The 18,400-nt window shown below is 45.1% G+C and overlaps 1 protein-coding gene across 8 annotated transcripts in view, besides 3 other annotated features; it reads left to right on the plus strand.

The window, feature by feature from the left end:
• Window positions 1–18,400, plus strand: part of CYFIP2 (cytoplasmic FMR1 interacting protein 2) — a 129,472-nt gene that overhangs the window by 19,862 nt on the left and 91,210 nt on the right. For 5 of the 8 annotated variants that reach the window (XM_011534516.4, NM_001291722.2, NM_001037333.3 and 2 more), the window contains 6 exons: window positions 1,035–1,124; window positions 8,799–8,876; window positions 10,689–10,790; window positions 14,731–14,912; window positions 16,810–16,906; window positions 18,254–18,382. In XM_011534516.4, coding sequence (XP_011532818.1) covers window positions 1,035–1,124; window positions 8,799–8,876; window positions 10,689–10,790; window positions 14,731–14,912; window positions 16,810–16,906; window positions 18,254–18,382 — 678 coding nt within the window. Of the gene's footprint in view, window positions 1–1,034; window positions 1,125–2,627; window positions 2,676–8,798; window positions 8,877–9,383; window positions 9,468–10,688; window positions 10,791–14,730; window positions 14,913–16,809; window positions 16,907–18,253; window positions 18,383–18,400 lie in introns of those variants that run through there. The other 3 variants (XM_047417101.1, NM_001291721.2, XM_047417102.1) reach the window with 3 other exon arrangements.
• Window positions 655–1,155: an enhancer, noted in NCBI's record as "H3K4me1 hESC enhancer chr5:156713648-156714148 (GRCh37/hg19 assembly coordinates)". NCBI's record gives its function as "activates a minimal SCP1, AML or CMV promoter by ChIP-STARR-seq in primed H9 embryonic stem cells {active_cell/tissue: H9 hESC(primed)}" and the evidence as "EXISTENCE:reporter gene assay evidence [ECO:0000049][PMID:30033119]".
• Window positions 1,156–1,656: an enhancer, noted in NCBI's record as "H3K4me1 hESC enhancer chr5:156714149-156714649 (GRCh37/hg19 assembly coordinates)". NCBI's record gives its function as "activates a minimal SCP1, AML or CMV promoter by ChIP-STARR-seq in primed H9 embryonic stem cells {active_cell/tissue: H9 hESC(primed)}" and the evidence as "EXISTENCE:reporter gene assay evidence [ECO:0000049][PMID:30033119]".
• Window positions 5,679–5,728: a silencer, noted in NCBI's record as "silent region_16558". NCBI's record gives its function as "represses an Ori minimal core promoter by ATAC-STARR-seq in GM12878 lymphoblastoid cells {active_cell/tissue: GM12878}" and the evidence as "EXISTENCE:reporter gene assay evidence [ECO:0000049][PMID:35858748]".

The raw sequence follows: 18,400 nt of genomic DNA on the forward strand, positions 1-18,400 counted from the left end.
GGTATAGCCCCTTGTCTGGGTGTGCCAGGCCAGATGCCATGTTAAGAAAGGATATGCTAATTTGAAAGTCTTAGCTGTGTTTGACCTTTTGATAGTTCTCAGATTGCTACAGGAGACTAAATATAAATACATAATAAATTCTTAAATTTCATTCAGTAGATGTATGAAGTACATGCTTGAAGGTTCGGCCCATAAACTTCATTGATTCACATCTTCTAACCCAGATTAAAATTTTAATTATACAAATATCTTTTTTATTATAAGCAATACAGAAAAGTATACAAAAAAGTATACAAAAACATATAAATTTTTTCTATAACTATGCGGATATATACCTTTTTTACCAAATATACATATATATGTGTGTGTGTATATATATGCATATATATATACATATATTTTTTTTTTAACCAATAGAGAACCATACTATATTTATTGCTTTGTGAGTTGGCTTTTTAACTTAAAATTTATTATGGATATTTTTCCATGACAATACCACAATACTACCACATTAGGCTTAGCCACCTCATGGTACTTAAAAGTCCATTTATGGATATGCTATTTTATGTATATATATATATATATATATATATATTTAGCCTTTCACTGTTGATGGATATGTAGGTTGTTTACAGTTTGTTTTAATCACAAAAAACAGCCACAGTAATTATTCTTGTACCTATATATCCACACCCTTGGGTGAGTATTTCTGGAACTGCCGAATCAAAGCAATGCACATCTTAACTTTTAGCAGCTATTTGGGCTTGTGGAGTTTAAGCATCTGCTTCTGAAGCTCAGATGAGTGAACCTGATTACTGATGGGAAGCAGACGGCAGACCCTGTCATCACCAGCTCCTGCCCAGTGTGATTGAGAGTGGGACTTTGTGGGGAAGGGGCAAGATGAAAGGTGACGCAGCAGGAGGTTTCCACAGAGAGCTTGCGTTGTTTGTTGGCAGCAGTTTGCCCTCTGGACACCCAGCCAACTTGGAACTGTTTTCTAACAACCAAAATGTTCCTGTCCTCTAATTCCACAGGCTAACTTTGACACAAACTTTGAGGACAGGAATGCATTTGTCACGGGCATTGCAAGGTACATTGAGCAGGCTACAGTCCACTCCAGCATGGTAAGTCTCTGTGACCCACGTGTGCAGACATGCTCCCTGCTGGGCTGGCAGGGGCCGCGGGCAGCTTCTCACACCAGAGGCATGTGCTCAGCTACTCTAAGAACCCCCTGCCTCAGTCAGAATCATCTGCTTAAGCCCACTCTTACATTCTGCGCCATCCCCTGTCGGTGCCTAGAAACATACAGTTCCCCTTTATTGTCCAGCTTTGGGAATCCTACTCAACTGTTAGGGCCCAACTTAGTCTCCACTACTCACTTTCTTGAGCTCCTATAGCTTTTTGGGTTAACATGTGATTGGATCTTGCCTTGTTTATAGGTTAATGAATGTGTGGAATTTTGTCTCTTGAGCAGAGCAAAAGGTTCCTTGAAAAAGGGACATTGGCTTTGGTTTTGGAATAACAGTTACTCAAAAAAGCTGATGGCCTAAATCATTTGCAAATAGGGCCAGTTATTATTTTCTCTCTTAGAGTCTGATTCATCTGTGGAGGGCTCCTCCCCTTCTCTGTTGGGCTTCCATTGATTTTATTCTCATGCAGCACTGCAATTTAAAGAATTCCAAATTCCATGTTCATAGACCCTGCCTGTGGTTCCATAAACCCTGCCTGTGGCTCCATAGACCTTTGACACTATATGTCTTAGCTCGTTTTGTGATGCTATAACAAGGAAACTGCAGACTGGATAATTTATAATAAATAGAAGTTTAGGCTGAGTATGGTAGCTCATGCCCATAACCCCAGCACTTTGGGAGGCTGAGGTAGGAAGATCCCTTGAGCCCAGGAGTTCAAGACCAGCCTGGGCAACATGGCAAGACCCTGTCTCTACAAAAATTTTAAAAATTAGCCGGGTGAGGTGGCACACACCTATAGTCGCAGCTACGTGGGAGGCTCAGGTGGGAGGATTGCTTGAGCCCAGGAGGTTGAGGCTGCAGTGAGCCATGATCGTATCACTGCATTCCAGCCTGGGCAACAGAGCAAGACCCTATCTCAAAAAAATAAGAGTAGTGGCTTATTGGCTTATGATTATGGAGGCTGGAAAGTCCAAGATTGAGGGGGCAGTATCTGGTGAGAGCCTTCTTACTGTATCATATCATGGCAGAAGCCATGACATGGGTGGCAGAGAAAGGGAAGGGGTCCAAACTCATCCTTTATGAGGAACCCACCCCCATAATAACAGCATTAATTCTTTCATGGGGGTAGAGCCCTCATGACCTGATCACCTGTTAAAGATCCCACCTCTCAACACTGTTGCACTGGAGATTTAAGTTTCTAACACATGAACTTTGGGGAACACACTCCAACCACAGCACTGTATTGGTTATCTCCCGTAACCTTGTGTTGACAAACCCTGCTCATTCATTCAATAAGTATTGTGTGGCTGGTGCCCTCAGAGGACTGTGTAAATGCTGGAGAGGTATGCAAGGGCAGATAGGGGCCAGTCCTGATCCTCAGTGAGTCAAGTGGGAAATAGATAAGCTTACCATTTATCGAATGCTTTTTCTATACAGATATTTTAGATGCATTGTCTCATTTGCTCCTGACATCAACCCTGTGAGGTAGGTTCTATTATCATATCCATTTTGCCGATGGGGAAAACTGGAGCCCAAAAAAATTGCATAACTTACTCAGGGTCCTGCAGCTGACAAGTGACAGCTCTAGATCAAGGTCTGCCTGACTACAAAACCTTTGCTCCAGACTATGCCTTGCAGACAAACAAAAATACACGAAGTTAAGGGTAAATGTCATGGTAAAAGTTCAAAGTTCTGTGTTTTTGAAGGAACCTTGAGAGAGTCAGAGAAAGCTTGATGTAGGAAGTGGCTTTTGTGTGAGGCCTTGTAGGAGGATAATGATACCTTGTAGATACAGTATACTTTAAAATATATGTAAGGCATTTTCATATATTATATTATTGGAGCTTTATAACAGCCCTGTGACTTGCAAAGGGATCATTATATCCATTTTAGGGATGAGAAAACTGAGGCCTAGAAAAGTTAATAAGCAGGTTGCTCATGATCCCACAACCAGTAAATCACAGGACTGGACCTGAAATCCAGGACTGATTGCCAGTCCTGATCTCTTTCTCCTGTTCCGTGCTGTCTCACACAGTTAGAATTTTACCAGTCAGAGATGAGACGGGGAGAGCACACCATGTGGAAGAGCTGGTGTGAGCAAAGGCACAGGGCAAGGATTTTCGAGGAGTGACTGGTATGGACTGTAAAGTGCATATAGGGATATTGTTTACAGATTCCCTACAAATAAAGGGTCGGGGCATAGAGGGTGTATTCGTTGGCTTGGATACCTTAACAAAGTGCCACAGACTAAATGGCTTAAACAGCAAAAATGTATTTCCTCCCCGTTCCGGAGATTAGAAGTCCAAGATCAAGGTGTCTGTAGGTTCGGTTTTTCCTCAGACTTTTTTCCTTGGCTCCCAGATGGCTGTTTCTCTCTGCATCCTCACATGGTCTCTTCTCTGTGTGCACACATCTCTGGCACCTTCTTTCTGTGTGTCCAGATTTCCTCTTTTTATAAGGACACCAGTCAGATTAGATCAGGGCCCTCTCTAATGGCCTCATTTTAACTTAATTACCTCTTTAAAGGCCCCGTCTCCAAATACAGTCACATTCTGAGGTCCTGTGGGGTTAGGGCTTCAACCTATAAATTTGGGGGGCACACAATTCAGCCCATAACAGAAGGCTTTAGTTTATTTAATAAAAAATTAAAAACAATGGAAAAATCTTTATCCTTAAAAGAGATATGAACAGAACGCAGCTTGGGGGACAGATTCCATGTGTTAGTCATATGTAGAATGAGTTGCAAGTAGGAATGAGGCAAATAAATTAGTCAAGATAATTAAAGTTATCTACACTGCAGGCATTCAAGGCTGAATGAGGGTGATGGCACTGGGGTACAGCTAAGAGGATATGGATGTGAGGGACACTGGCTTAGCAGTCACCTGGGACTGCACTGACTGAGTTCCCAGGAAGACCAGGTCAAGACACCAACAGAGCAGTCGGAAGGAGGGGTTAGGTTGGAGAGTGATAGTGTTCATTTTCTGTTACTGCCCTAATAGAGTGTCACAAACTTAGTGGCTTAGAAGAACACTGATTTATTTGCTTATAGTTTTGTAGGTCAGAAGTCTGACGTGGGTCTTACTGAGTTAAAATCAGGGTGCCAGCAGGGCCGCATTCCTTCTGCAGGCTCCAGGAGAAAGTCTGTTCCCTTGCCTTTTCCAGCTTCTAGAGGTGTCTACATTCCTTGACTCGTGGCCCCCAGCCAGCAGTGACATCACTCTGATCTCTGCCTGCATCTTCAAATCTCCTTCTCTGACTCTTCTGCCTCCCTCTTTTGCTTATGAGTACCTTGTGTTTACACTGGGCTCCCCAGGATAATCCAGAACAACCACCACCACCCGCCTACCCCCATTGCAAGGCTCTTAATTGGTCACATCAGCAAATTGCCTCTTTCCATGTGAAGGAACATATTCACAGGCACCAGGGATTAGGATACAGACATCTTGGGGGGACCATTATTCTGCCTACACAGGGAGAGTGTTGATGTGGCTTAGGCATGAGTCATGAGTGGCATGCAATGCTGACATTCCTGGATAACACCAAAATCTCCCTTCAGTCAACAGTGTCTTCCTCGTGCCTTCCCCAGTCTTTCTAAGGTAGCTTATTAGCAGCAATGTGGGTGTATGAGATGCTCATCTTCTTGTATGTCTCCTGTCCCCACTTGGGCAAGGTGAATCTCTCAAAGGACAGGATAGCCAGAGAAAAGAGGAGGAGGGGAAGTACGTAAACCACATAACTGACCAACTATATGGAAGAGTTGAGGGTTCTTTGCTGGGGTGAGATGGGGGCTGAGTGATCACTGGATCTGTCACTACATAAAATTTGAGCTACACTCACATTGGGTTTAAGTCATGGACTTTCAGAATATTAGAAATGTAAAGGACCTTAGAGATCCTTAGTCCTGAAGCTGTCAATGTGGGCTGCACAAGAGAATCAACCTGGGGATTGTTTAAAAACACCAGTGCCCCACCCCATCCCCAGGGATAAATATTTAGTTAATCTGGGGCATGGCTTAGGCATCAAATTCCCCAGGTGACTCTAATATACAACAAGGGTTGAACACGAATGATTCAGGCCAACTCTTTACCTCCAAGTAAGGAAACTAAGACATTACAAGTTAAAAGGTGGGCCCAAGAAGAGTGAGGACCAGAACTCAAGTTTCCCAAGACCCCACCCAGGGCTCTTTCCACTGCACCATCCTAACCTCTACATTCTAGCATAATTGCATGACAGATCTGGCTGATGGCCAAACTGTCCGTAGGGCAGAGTTCACATTCTTCTTGTTCACTGCGCTGTTTGCAGCACAAAGCACAGAGCCTGGGACCCATGAGTGCCCAGTTAAACATTCACTGAATGCATGAGTCGGAATTAACACCCGTCGGCAGGCAGGTTGGTGCTACAAGTAGACACGTGTTCCTTACGTGACTGTCACTTCCCCTTTTGGACATGTGTTCTGAGGCAGATGACTGCGGGACCCACGGGCTTGATTGGTTCTCCCTGTTCTCAAGGACAACATGTTACTGATTTTTAAAGTTCTCTAAATTAATCATTGAAGTGTGACTTGTCAATGACATTTGCTGCTGAAAACAGAACTGTCATAAGTAAATTGATCTGCTGTTATACTAATAAGATATTATGAAATGGTGGTATGTGGATTTAAAAATAAAGTTCATTTTTTAATATAGATATAAACATTTATAAAAAGAGATGGCCTAGTAAAATTCTTTCTTTGGTGATTTTTTTTTCAAAGTGTATTTCCATTTGAAGTGTACAATTCAGTAGTTTTCAGCATATTCACAATGTTATACAGCCATGGCTACTACCTAACTTTCATCACCCCTAAAAGATGCCCTGGACCTGTTAGTAGTCAATCCCAATTCCTCTCACCCCACCACCTCCTGGAAGTCACTAGTATACTTTCTGTTTCTATGGATTTGCCTATTTTCATCTAAATAAATAATCCAATATGGACCTTTTGTGTCTGGCTTCTTTTACTTAACATAATGTTTTCTTTCTTTCTTTTTCTTTTTTCTTTTTTTATTTTTATTTTTTTATTTTTTTTGAGATGGAGTTTTGCTCTTATTGCCCAGGCTGGAGTGCAATGGCACAATCTTGGCTCACCGCAACTTCCACCTCCCGGGTTCAAGTGATTCTTCTGCCTCAGCCTCCTGAGTAGCTGGGATTATAGGCATGCACCACCATGCCCGGCTAACTTTGTATTTTTAGTAGAAACAGGGTTTCTCCATGTTCATCAGGCTGGCCTCGAACTCCCGACCTCAGGTGATCCACCTGCCTCGGCCTCCCAAAGTGCTGGGATTACAGACGTGAGCCACCGCGCCTGGCCAGCATAATGTTTTCAAAGTTCATCCATGTGGTAGCGTGTATTGGTAGTTCGTTACTTTGTATTGCCAAATAATTAATTGTATGGACATGCCACATATTATTTATCCATCCATCCATTGATGGACATTCGAGTTATTGGGCTATTTTGAATAATGCTGCTATGAACATTTGTGTTACATGCAAATCTTGAATCTACACATTTTTCTGTGTGGACATATGTTTTCAGTTCTCTTGGGTATACACATACCCAAGAATTACTGGGTCGAATGGTAACTCTGTGGTTAACGTGTTGTGACACTGCCAGATTATTTTTCTGACTCACTTCACAGATTACCAAGAGTATGTGTATGTGTTCCATTTAATTCTCATAAAATTCTATGAGATTATTATTATTATCATGATTTAACAGATGACTAAGTGGAGAATTTTAGGATAAGTGATTTACAATAGACTAAAGGGCTAATAAGTGATGAAGCTGGGATTTGAGCCCAGATATGTATGTATGTATGTATGTATGTATGTATGTATGTATGTATGTATGTATGTATGTGTGTTTGAGATGGAGTCTTGCTCTGTCGCCCAGGCTGGAATGCAATGGCGCAATCTAAGCTCATTGCAGCCTCTGCCCCCCGAGTTCATGCAATTCTCCTGCCTCAGCCTCCAGAGTAGCTGAGATTGCAGGCACCCGCCACCACACCTGGCTAATTTTTGTATTTTTAGTAGAGACGGGGTTTTGCCATTTTGGCCAGGCTCATCTTGAACTCCTGACCTCAGATGATCCACCGGCTTCAGCCTTTCAAAGTGCTAGGATTACAGGTGTGAACCACTGCGCCCAGCCTTGAGCCCAGGTATTCGGACCTTGAGTTTAGGTCTCTTTCCACAGCAGCAGTTCCTCAGTGAGATGAGTCATCACTGTATTTTTTCACGCTCGTTTTTCATGCTGTTGTTGGTTTTCCCATCTGCTCTGCTTATTATTAAAAATTGATATTAATCATTTTCCTGCTTATGAGATAGTACATGGGCTGTTATAAAAGTGTGAAAATTATAGTGCTATATGACTTTTTAAAAAGTGATGCAAAACAATCCAGCCTCACAGAGAGCTTGCTATCCATAGCTTGGTACATGTTGCACTGAAATTTTTTTTTCAATACGTAATAATGTAATCACCTGATGGGTTTTTCCTGTCCACTGCACAGACAAAACCAATTCACTGAGACAGTGGTATTGCAGTAAAGAAAGAGTTTAATCAATATGAGGCTGGCCACAAAGGAGACAGTTATTATGCAAATCAGTCTCCCCAAAGGCTTGGAGGTTAGACTTTTTCCAGGATAGTTTGGTGGGCATGGGGCTAGGGAATGGGTGCTGATTGATTGGGGATCCAGTCATGGAGTGTGGAAAACAGGCCTCATGTGCTGAGGCTGCATCTGGGTGGGGGCCATTGGACCAGTCGAGTCCCAAAAGTCCAGGTGGAGTCAGTCTGAAGAACTTCTCAAAAGACCAATCTTACATTCTACAATAGTGTTGGTATTTGTAAGAGCAATTGGGGAAGGCACCAATCTTGTGACCTCTGGCCACAAGACTCCTGAATAGTAAGGGATTATGGAAAGTATGCCTACATCTTCAGCAGAATTCACACACCTCTCATAATCCTAACCTTGTGGCCTTTCATTAGTTTTACAAAGGCAGTTTAGTTTTGGAAAGGGCTATTATCATCCTTGCTTTAAGGTTAAACTGTCAACGAAATTCCTCCCAAAGTTAGCCTACATCCAGGAATGACCAAGGACAGCTTGGAGGTTAGAAGCAAGATGGAGTCAACTATGTCAGATTTCTCTGTCGTAATCTTTGCAAAGGCAGTTTTGATAATATACTTTCATAACTATTTCTGTTTTGTTTTTTAACCTATCTGCTGTACATACTGTTTTGCTACTTGCTTATTTTCTTGCTAACATTATATCTGGGGGGCACATAGCTCTGCCCCATTCTTTCTAAGGTAGCCATCCATCTGTTTGGGAAAATGTGGCCTGAGGATGAGTTCTTCTCAAACTCATTGTGTATGTGAGTCATCTGGGAATTTTGTTGAAATGCACATTCTTATTGCATAGGCCCAGGGAGGGACCTGAGATTCTCCATTTCCAGTAAGGTCCCCAAGTGATGTCCATGCTGTGGGTCCATGGACCATACCATAACTAGTGAGGATCTGGGGGCTTTTGCAGCCTGGTGGCACCCGTCTTGTTCCTCCCTGCTGAGGCTGTTTTACCATTTCAGAATGAGATGCTGGAGGAAGGACATGAGTATGCGGTCATGCTGTACACCTGGCGCAGCTGTTCCCGGGCCATTCCCCAGGTGAGACTGTCCTTGTTGTGTGTCTCTTTCCCCTCCAGAGGGCATTACTAACCCCTACTTCATCCCCAAACCAGAGAGCTGAGCTTTTCTTTCCACGTGGTAGGGAGTAAAGCAGGTCCTCTTATCCAAGGAAGAACCTGGAAGACATTCAGAGAGCTTCCCATAAAAGTGATGACAGGGACGCATGTCGAGGGACTTAAAACACATTTGTTCAATATATTTTATTTCCAAAGCAGTATATGGTAACTACATGACACCAAAACCACTGCAGAGGGTATGAAGTAAAAAGAAAGATGTTCCCACTGCCTCACCCCAACCACCCAAACCCACATCCCGCCATGGGATGGCCATGTACACTTTGTGACATATTTGTCTGGATCTTTTTCCTGGCATGAATATTATTTTGTAAATTATTATTTACAAAAATGTATTATTTTGTGTTTATATTGTTCTGCCACTTGCTTTTTTCCCCACTTAATTCTTAATTACTGACTTTTGTCATGTTGACACACATACAGATATTTTTATTACCATCAGTGCCATCATCATGTAATTAACGGGTCCCATGGCAACAAAATCAGCAAGCCACAGGTGTGTAAACAGAAACTATTCCTCCCCCTTCCTTCTAATTCTAGGCCCCAGCAATAACTACTATTAACAATTTGGTTTGCATCCTTTCAGATTTTCTATGCCTGTCTTATATATGAGCACACATGCTGTTTTGTTTCACTTAATAAAAATGGGACCTGATTATTCTGTCACTTTTTTCACCTGTTTGTGGTGACTTTGTTTCCTGGTTACATAAAACTGTCTCATTCCTTCTAACAGCTCACAGTGATATTATGTGATTGTAGCATATTTTATCCACTTAATTGTTGACTGGTGGATATTTAGCATGATGCTGCCACTTTAAGACTTTCTAAGCAATAGTATGAAGAATGTCCCTGTGCTTACCTTGGCTCGCTCTTCAGATCCCATGTATCCATTAGCAGCCTTGGCGTGTGCGTTGTGAGGATGTCTGCCATCGGATTCTGATGTGCACACTGGTGAAAACTGCAGAGCAGGGGAAATGGGCCTGGGTAGGTCTAGGGGAGCTTTGTCCCAGGTGTATCCAGAACAATGGAAAGAATATTTCTCTCTGCTTAGAATCCAGCTGGACCCCGCTAGAGTGCGGACAGGGGAAAGACTGAAGGAGGGAGAGCTTGCAGATAAATGTGAACATGTCAGTAACTCATGGACAGGGCACAGAACTGAGAAAAAGGAAGGAGGGTTCTGTTCTTGGGACCAACTGGTTCCTTTCCTGCAGCCAATGTCTGCGGAGCACTTCTGCCCCCTGCCAGATTGGTGAAGCAGGGGCTACCCAAGTCTCCTCACTAGGATGAGCATATCAGTTATCATCCAAAATCAGGTGTATTTGAGAGTGAAAAAGGGCCCTATTAATAAGACAGCAGGGCCGTGCATGGTGGCTCATGCCTGTAATCCCAGCAATTTGGGAGGCTGAGGTGGGAGGATTGCTTGAGCCCAGGAGTTCAAGACTAGCCTGGGCAACATAGTGAGACACCATCCCTACACCAACTACAAAAATTAGCTGGATATAGTGTTGCATGCCTGAAGTCCCACCTACTTGGCAGGCTGAGTTGGGAGGATCACTTGAGCCTGGGAGGTTGAGGTTTCAGTGAGCCATGATCATGCCACTGCACTCTAGCCTGGACAACAGAGCAAGACCCTGTCTCAAAAACAAAACAAAACAAAAAACAGTAATAAGACAACAGGTGTAAACCAGGATGTGTGTGTCCCCATTATCCCCCACAGGTGAAATGCAACGAGCAGCCCAACCGAGTAGAGATCTATGAGAAGACAGTAGAGGTGCTGGAGCCGGAGGTCACCAAGCTCATGAAGTTCATGTATTTTCAGGTGAGTGGGGAGGGGCAGGTCTGCATCTGGAGAACTGAAAAGGCCCCTAGTTTTCTAACCACTGGGGTCTGCAGTTTTGTGCCATGTTATTTATTCACTAAGCAAATATTTTTTGACTGTGCCCTACACATCCCTGGGTGAGCAAGACGGATGAGTCTCCCCACCCTCGTGGAATTTTCATCCTAGTGAGTATGTGAGTGTGTTTTGTGTAGGAGGAGAGAAAGACAATAAGCAATACACATTAATATTCAGGGAATAATAAGTGCTGTGAGTAAAATAACATTTTGAAAAATTCTGGGTTATAGAGTGCCTGTGATGTGAGTGCTGCTTTAGGGACAGCCTCTCAGGAGGCGGCATTTGAGCTGAGACTCAGAGAGAGAGGCTGACGTGTGATGACCAGGAGGAAAGGTTTCAGGCAGAAGTTGCCACAGAGGCAAAAGCCTTGAGGCTGAGGCCGGAAGGAGCTTGCTGTGTTTAAGAAATAAAACGAAGTGCCTGGGTGTGAGGGAAATGGGAAGGTGGGGTGTGGATATGCAGCCTAGGTGGGGAGCATGGCCTTTGGAGGCAGAGAAGCCCAAGTCACATCCCTGGCCCTTTCACTCTCTAACTGTGTGTTTGTGAGTTATTTAATGTCTCTGACACCTTGGGATTTTTCACCTTGAAAATGACCGGCTTCACAGGTTTATGGTGAGAATAAATGAGGTCTGTTTGTAAAGAGCCAAGTAGGACCCTGGTCAGAGTAGGTTTCACAAATTGCAGCTACTGTTAGCATCATGGACCTGCCTTCGGGAGCCCAAAATCTTTTTGGGAAGGCAGGGCCAAGAGAGAAGAACTATCCAGAAACTGATTAACTGAGAAACTGAGAGTCTCCTGACAAGAGGTATTTACAGAAGGGAGGATCTGGAATAATTTAGAACTGTGCTGTCCAGTGCCATAGCCATTAGCCACATGTGGGTACTTACATTAATTAAAAAGTGACAACATGAAAAACATAAAGATTAAAAATAAAAATAAGTAAAAATAAAATTTTAAAATCAAAGCATGAGGTAGGTTGAAAAAAAATAAAACGAGACAACATGAAAAATTCAGTTCCTCAGTAATCCTAGGCACACTGCAAGTGCAGAGTGGCCACGTGTGATGGTGGCTGTCATATTGGACAGTGCAGATATGGACCATTTTCATCTCCCAGAGTTTAGTTGGACTTAGACTCTGGCAGGAGAAAGTGTGACTTAGTCTGGTCTTTGAAGGAAAGGACTGACTGGCTGGTTGGGCCTCTCAGGCCCGTGGAAGCAGAGTGGAGCTCAATCGGGGCCATCATTTCTCCTCCCCCTTCCTTCCCTGCTTTCCTTTTCTTCCTTCTCTTTCTTTCTTGCTCTTTCTGGGTTACTTCAGTAGCCTCTTTTTGTTGTTGCTGTTCCACTGCCTTTTAAAATTTTTGGTACCAGTTTTATAGAGATATACTTAACATATACCATATAATTTGCCCATTTAAAGTGGATAATTTAGCAGTTGTTAATATATTCACAGAGTTGTACATTCATCACGACAATCAGTTTTATTTATTTATTTATTTTTGAGACAGAGTCTCTCTCTGTCGCTCAGGCTGGAGTGCGGTGACACTATCTCGGCTCACTGCAACTTCAGCCTCCTAGGTTCAAGTGATTCTCCTGCCTCAGCCTCCCTCCCAAGTAGCCAGGACCACAGGTGTGTGCCACCACGACCAGCTACTTTTGTATTTTTTTTTTTTTTTTAGTAGATATGGGGTTTCTTCATGTTGGCCAGGCTGGTCTCGAACTCCTGGCCTCAAGTGATCCACCTGCCTTGGTCTCCCAAAGTTCTGGGATTACAGACATGAGCCACCACACCCGGCCCACAATCAATTTTAGAACATCTTCATTACCCCAAAAAGAAACCCCACGCCCTTTGGCCATCACCCCATAATACCTTCATCTCCCCAGTCTCAGCCCGAGGCAACCACTAAGCTACTTTATGCTGCCATGGATTTGCCTGTTCTGGACATTTCATATAAACTGAATCATATAACGTGGTCTTTTGTGTCCATCTGGCTCTCTTCAGTTAGCATTATGTTTTTAAAGCTCATCCATGTTACAGCGTGTATCAGAATTTCATTCCTTTTTAGGACTGAATACCATTCCATTGTATGGATATACCGTATTTTATTTATCCATTCATCAGTTGATGGACATTGGTTTATTTCCACTTTGGGGCTATTATGAACAAACATTGATCGTTCACGTACAAGTATTTGTGTGGACGTATGTTTTCATGTCTCTCAAGTAGAGACCTAGGAGTGGAATTGTTGGGTCAGATGGTAACCCCACCTTTAAGCTTTTAAATACCCTCTTAACTATTCTCTCACGTCTATCTTTGCACCCTAGAGCCAATGTGACTCTTTTAAAATATAATTCAGGCCATGTTATCTGGCCTCAGAACCTCCCATGTCTCCCCAGCTCAAGCATTGTCCAAGTCTGAGCCCTCACAAAGGCCTGCAAGAGACAGTGCCCTGACCCCATCTCTCTGCCTCCTTCCTGTACTCGCTCCGCTTCAGCCACCCTGGCTTCCTTCTCATCCCTGGAACACACCTCAGGGCCTTCACACTGACCATTGAGTTACCCCATAAGCCTCTTTTCCCTCCTCTTTCAGCTTCTTTTCCTGCAAGTCACTTCTTGAGGATTCCATCTCTGATCTTCCTCCTTAGAAGGACAACCCCTCTGAGCGCTTCTCCTCAAGCCTTCCTTCTTTATTTTTTTCCATAGCACATACCACATTCTAATAGATCTATGTATTGTTTTCTGTCTTCTCTCACTAGAATGTAAACTCCTAGGCCAGGCGTGGTGGTTCATGCCTGTAATCCCAGCACTTTGGGAGGCCAAGGCAGGCAGATCACTTGAGGTCAGGAGTTCGAGACCAGCCTGGCCAACATGGTGAAACCCAGTCTCTACTAAAAATACAAAAAATTAGCTGGGCATGGTGGTGCATGCCTGTAATCTCAGCTACCCAGGAGGCTTAGGCAGGAGAATCACTGGAACCTGAGAGGCGGAGGTTGCAGTGAGCCGACATTGTGCCACTGCATTCCAGCCTGGGTAACAGTGAAACTCCATCTCAAAACAAAACAAAACAAAACAAAAAACTAGAATGTAAATTCCTGAAGGCAGAATTTGCTTGCTTGTCTGTTTTTCTCTTTTGTTTCCTGCTCTACCCCGGGACCTAGAATGGTGCCTGGCACATAGTAGATGGCTATTAAATAGCTACTGGATGAATGAGCCTCTTTTCCTCTCTGCATGTCTCTCACTCTTGGTCTCTACCTTCTTATCGACTGGTACCTGACACTGTCCTAGGTGCTGGGAATGCCAAAATGAATAAGACGTAATGCTCAGCCAATGTATGTTGAATGAATGCATTGGTTTGAGTCACATAGAGGCAGGTTCCAGGCTCCCCTCAAGAAATCAGCTTCGGGCCAGGTATGGTGGCTCATGCCTGTAATCAGTCCCAGCACTTTGGGAGGCCGAGGCAGGTGGGTCACAAGGTCACGAGATTGAGACCAGCCTGACCAACATGGTGAAACCCCGTCTCTACTAAAAATAGAAAAATTAGCTGGGCATGGTGGCACACACCTGTAATCCCAGCTACTCGGGAGGCTGAGGCAGGAGAATTGCTTGAACCTGGGAAGTGGAGGTTGCAGTGAGCCGAGATCGCACCGCTGCACTCCAGCCTGGTGACGAAGCAAGACTCCGTCTCAAAAAAAAAAAAAAAAGAAAAAAAGAAATTAGCTTCGGATTTAAGGACTCCTCTGAGAAAAATTGCCTGGCAGATTTGCCTTTCTCGAGAGGGCTGGCTCTGAGGAGGGCCCTAGAGGAGCCTGGACCCTGCCCCCATAAGGGAGCACAGTGGACCTTACTCACTGCCCCTCTGCCCCCAGCGCAAGGCCATCGAGCGGTTCTGCAGCGAGGTGAAGCGGCTGTGCCATGCCGAGCGCAGGAAGGACTTTGTCTCTGAGGCCTACCTCCTGACCCTTGGCAAGTTCATCAACATGTTTGCTGTCCTGGATGAGCTAAAGAACATGAAGTGCAGCGTCAAGAATGACCACTCTGCCTACAAGAGGTCAGGGCAACCTCCCCCTCTCCCCTTTCCCCATCCAGGCCCCTCCTCCAGGGCTGCCTGTCAAGTGGAGGAAGAGAATGGAGCCCCTCTCACCTGCTTTTTCTTTGATACCAAACTAGCCATCCCCCAAACATAGTGAGGCTTGGCCTGTTTCAGTGTGGTTTGAGGAACAGGGCATAGAGCTGGGCCTTGGAAGAACTTGATCTTTGTAGAGTTTTATATCTCAAGATGGAATCAAACCCTCAGTTCCCCCATCTCTGGAGCAGCAGCATTTTATGTTGCCCCATGTAATATGGGACCAGTAAGATCATCACAAAATGGTTACATTAGTCATTTTCTGCAAGAATCATAAAGCCAATTCAAACAGTGTATGTAAAAGAAGGAAATGAATTGGCTCACAGAAAGTCCAGGTACACCTGCACACAGGCATTCAGATGACAATGTTAGCCTGAGTGCCTCCAGCTCTCAGGTCAACCTCCTCCTCTACATTGGCTTCATTCTCAGGTCTGTGGTGGCTTCCAGCAGCTTTCCTCAGGCCAGTGCAGCAATCCCAGCTTCTAAGGAAGGACAGGATGCTTCTCCTTCCAAATACTTTCATGGAAGTCCCAGGGAGGATTGCCTTTGATCAGCTTGAGTCATATGCTAAACCTTCTATCAGTCACTGGAGGTGTAGAGGTGGAGACACCCTGATGGGATGGTTGCTTGCCTTTGGAGTGCAGGGTCTCTGCCAGCTCTTAAGAAGAAGAAGGTTAGCCAGGAGAGGGTCTCACACCTATAATCCTAGCACTTTGGGAGGCCACAGCAGGCAGATGACTTAAGCCCAGGAGTTCAAGACCAGCCTGGAAACCATAATGAGACCCCGTCTCTTTTTTTAAATTAAAACAAAAAAGAGGACTGAAAGTGGGGGAGGAGTCATTCCAGAAACCAGTATACAGCCACCCAGAAGTCTCTTGAGAAGGATTTGCTGTGTCTCTGATAAAGAGAGACCCTCCTTGAATGACATCTTCCTGGGCTGCAAGGTAACTAGAGAAAACAGACTGATTCTCACAAGTTTACCCTCCTAAGTCAACTGTGAAATCTGGTGGTGTCCAGCAGGCTGGGCCCCATCTCAAGGCTGACTTAGAAGTGACAACTTTACAAAGTTTTTATGGGTAGCTTATTGCATAATATCTTCTATCAAATTTTCCCCACCTGTAGCCAGCCTGCTTCTGTCATGGCCACAAATGAGATCCTCTGCCGCCCAGCTAGGTCATGAGCAAGGTGGGGTGTCTTGTCTGTTTTCACAGTTCATGATGACACAGGTGGCACCATCCCCATGTTAGGCTGGGAAGTCAGGCAGCCACAGCTTTCTCCCATCAAGTCCTGCTTGTGTTCCCTGTGCCCGTCATCCCATCACCTGCGATTCTGTGAGGTTCCATAGCCTTCTGTTTTCCATACAATGCTTTGCTTTGGAAACGTTGAAGTTTTCCTGTAAATAACAGAATACACAACAGGTGCATTCTAGCATCCTACCTGCACTGCTTCTCCATAACTTACTATGCAGCCTCACTGGAGGTCACAGGAGGGTACAAGGATGATCATTTCACTCCTGTTTTACCACTCCCAGCTGGTTGATGGGATGCTAGTTCCCCTTAAACTTTCTGAGATTTCAGAGATTCTTAGTACATTCCTGCCTTTTAATTTAAGGGGCCCTTATTACAAGGGTGTAGACAGCCCCAAAGCAAATGACTTCAGAACACACTCTGTTTCGACATTAGTGTTGCCTGGGATATTCAGAGCTCATTAACTTCCAGGATGATGTCACTCTGTGTTAGGTGGGCATGCGAGCCCGTGAGGCATGGTTTAGGCCGTTGCACTTGGACAGTCCTCTCTGCAGCACCCACTATCTGCGTTTCAGGGCAGCACAGTTCCTGCGGAAGATGGCAGATCCCCAGTCTATCCAGGAGTCGCAGAACCTTTCCATGTTCCTGGCCAACCACAACAGGATCACCCAGGTGAGGGCAGACTCCTTGTTAGGCCTGGCCTGATGTCTCGGGGTTATAGGCAGGCGTGTAGAGGTTGGGTGGACCACGAGCCCAAGCAGACAAGCTCAGTCTGCAGCTTCCATCTCCACTGCCCTACTTGAGAGTGAAATGTAGCTGAGGACTTAAGTCTGTCCTCCCAACCCCAGGTGGCCGATTCACCCTCTCCAGTTGTCATGCTCGTGAAGCCCTCTCAGCCAGTGCTCTGACCCTGCATCAGGGTTGAGAACGTGGGGTCTGGAGTTAGGCAGCCTTGTTTTGTAATCCTAGACCACCACTGACCCACTCTGTCAGACTTGGGGCCAATCTAAGCCTCAGTTTCCTCATCCGTAAAATGGGTCTGTTATTTTGAGAATATTATGAGAACCCATCTCATAGGACTGTTGTGAGAAATAAATGATACCAGTATATGAAAAGTCCTTAGCATGCAGATCCTGACAGATGTTCAGGGCCTAGGAAGACATAGCTGTTATTGCTGCCGCTGCTTTGCCAGGGTACACCCCTCAGCTGCCATTTTCCCATTTTGCCCAACATAAGCAAGACAAGCATAACTGTCACTTCAGCCTAAACAGTCTCTAGCAAGAATATCTGCAGGACTCAGGCCAAAACTGAGGGGATCCTCCATCTTCCAAGGGTGTTCACATTCAAATCCATATCACGGAGGCCCTTGGGTTGACAGGGCCCTTGCCACTCTTTGTTAACTGCAGAAAGCTGTTCAGTAACTGAGGCCTCAGGTTTTCTTTCTCTTGCCTGTGGGAAGTACCAGCAGTGCCCTCCTCTGCATACCCTGCAGGGGCCTGGTTGGTCCCTTTGGAGAGAAAGGGCCTAGGGTGGGGACCTCAGACCCTTCTCTAATAGATGTTTTTCTACTGCTGTGTCCTGCCAAGAGGGAGACACCTGCCCCCCTCCCCACCGCCAGCTCTCCTCCCCTGGGTGGGGTTTTGCTGCCGTTGTCTGAGAAGACATCCTAGATAAGCCCACATCCTCCAAGCTGAGCTGAAATGACAAGAAGCCTATTGCTGTAAAACTGAGCTGCTTTTTAGCTCAGGCCAGGATAGCACTTTCTAACCATCAGAACTGCCTGGGAATAAAATAGGGGGTGAGTTCCTTGCCATGGGAGGTGTGCAGGAGTACTGTGGGGACATCAAGGAGAGGATTCAGGCATCAGGTGCCAGCTGGCATGCAGCCTCGCCTCCCTGGAGCTGTGATTCCTGGCCATCAGCGGGGACCACACCGGCCAGCTGTAGGGCTTCTGCAGGGGTGCAGGTGAGGGCACAGGATACATGCGCTGCCTAACCTGAGGGTGGCGCTGCTGTTCAGTGTCTCCACCAGCAACTTGAAGTGATCCCAGGCTATGAGGAGCTGCTGGCTGACATTGTCAACATCTGTGTGGATTACTACGAGAACAAGATGTACCTGACTCCCAGTGAGAAACATATGCTCCTCAAGGTAAAACTCCCCTGAGGC

The sequence above is a fragment of the Homo sapiens genome, chromosome 5 (genome assembly GCF_000001405.40).
Source record: "Homo sapiens chromosome 5, GRCh38.p14 Primary Assembly".
Classification (NCBI taxonomy): domain Eukaryota; kingdom Metazoa; phylum Chordata; class Mammalia; order Primates; family Hominidae; genus Homo; species Homo sapiens.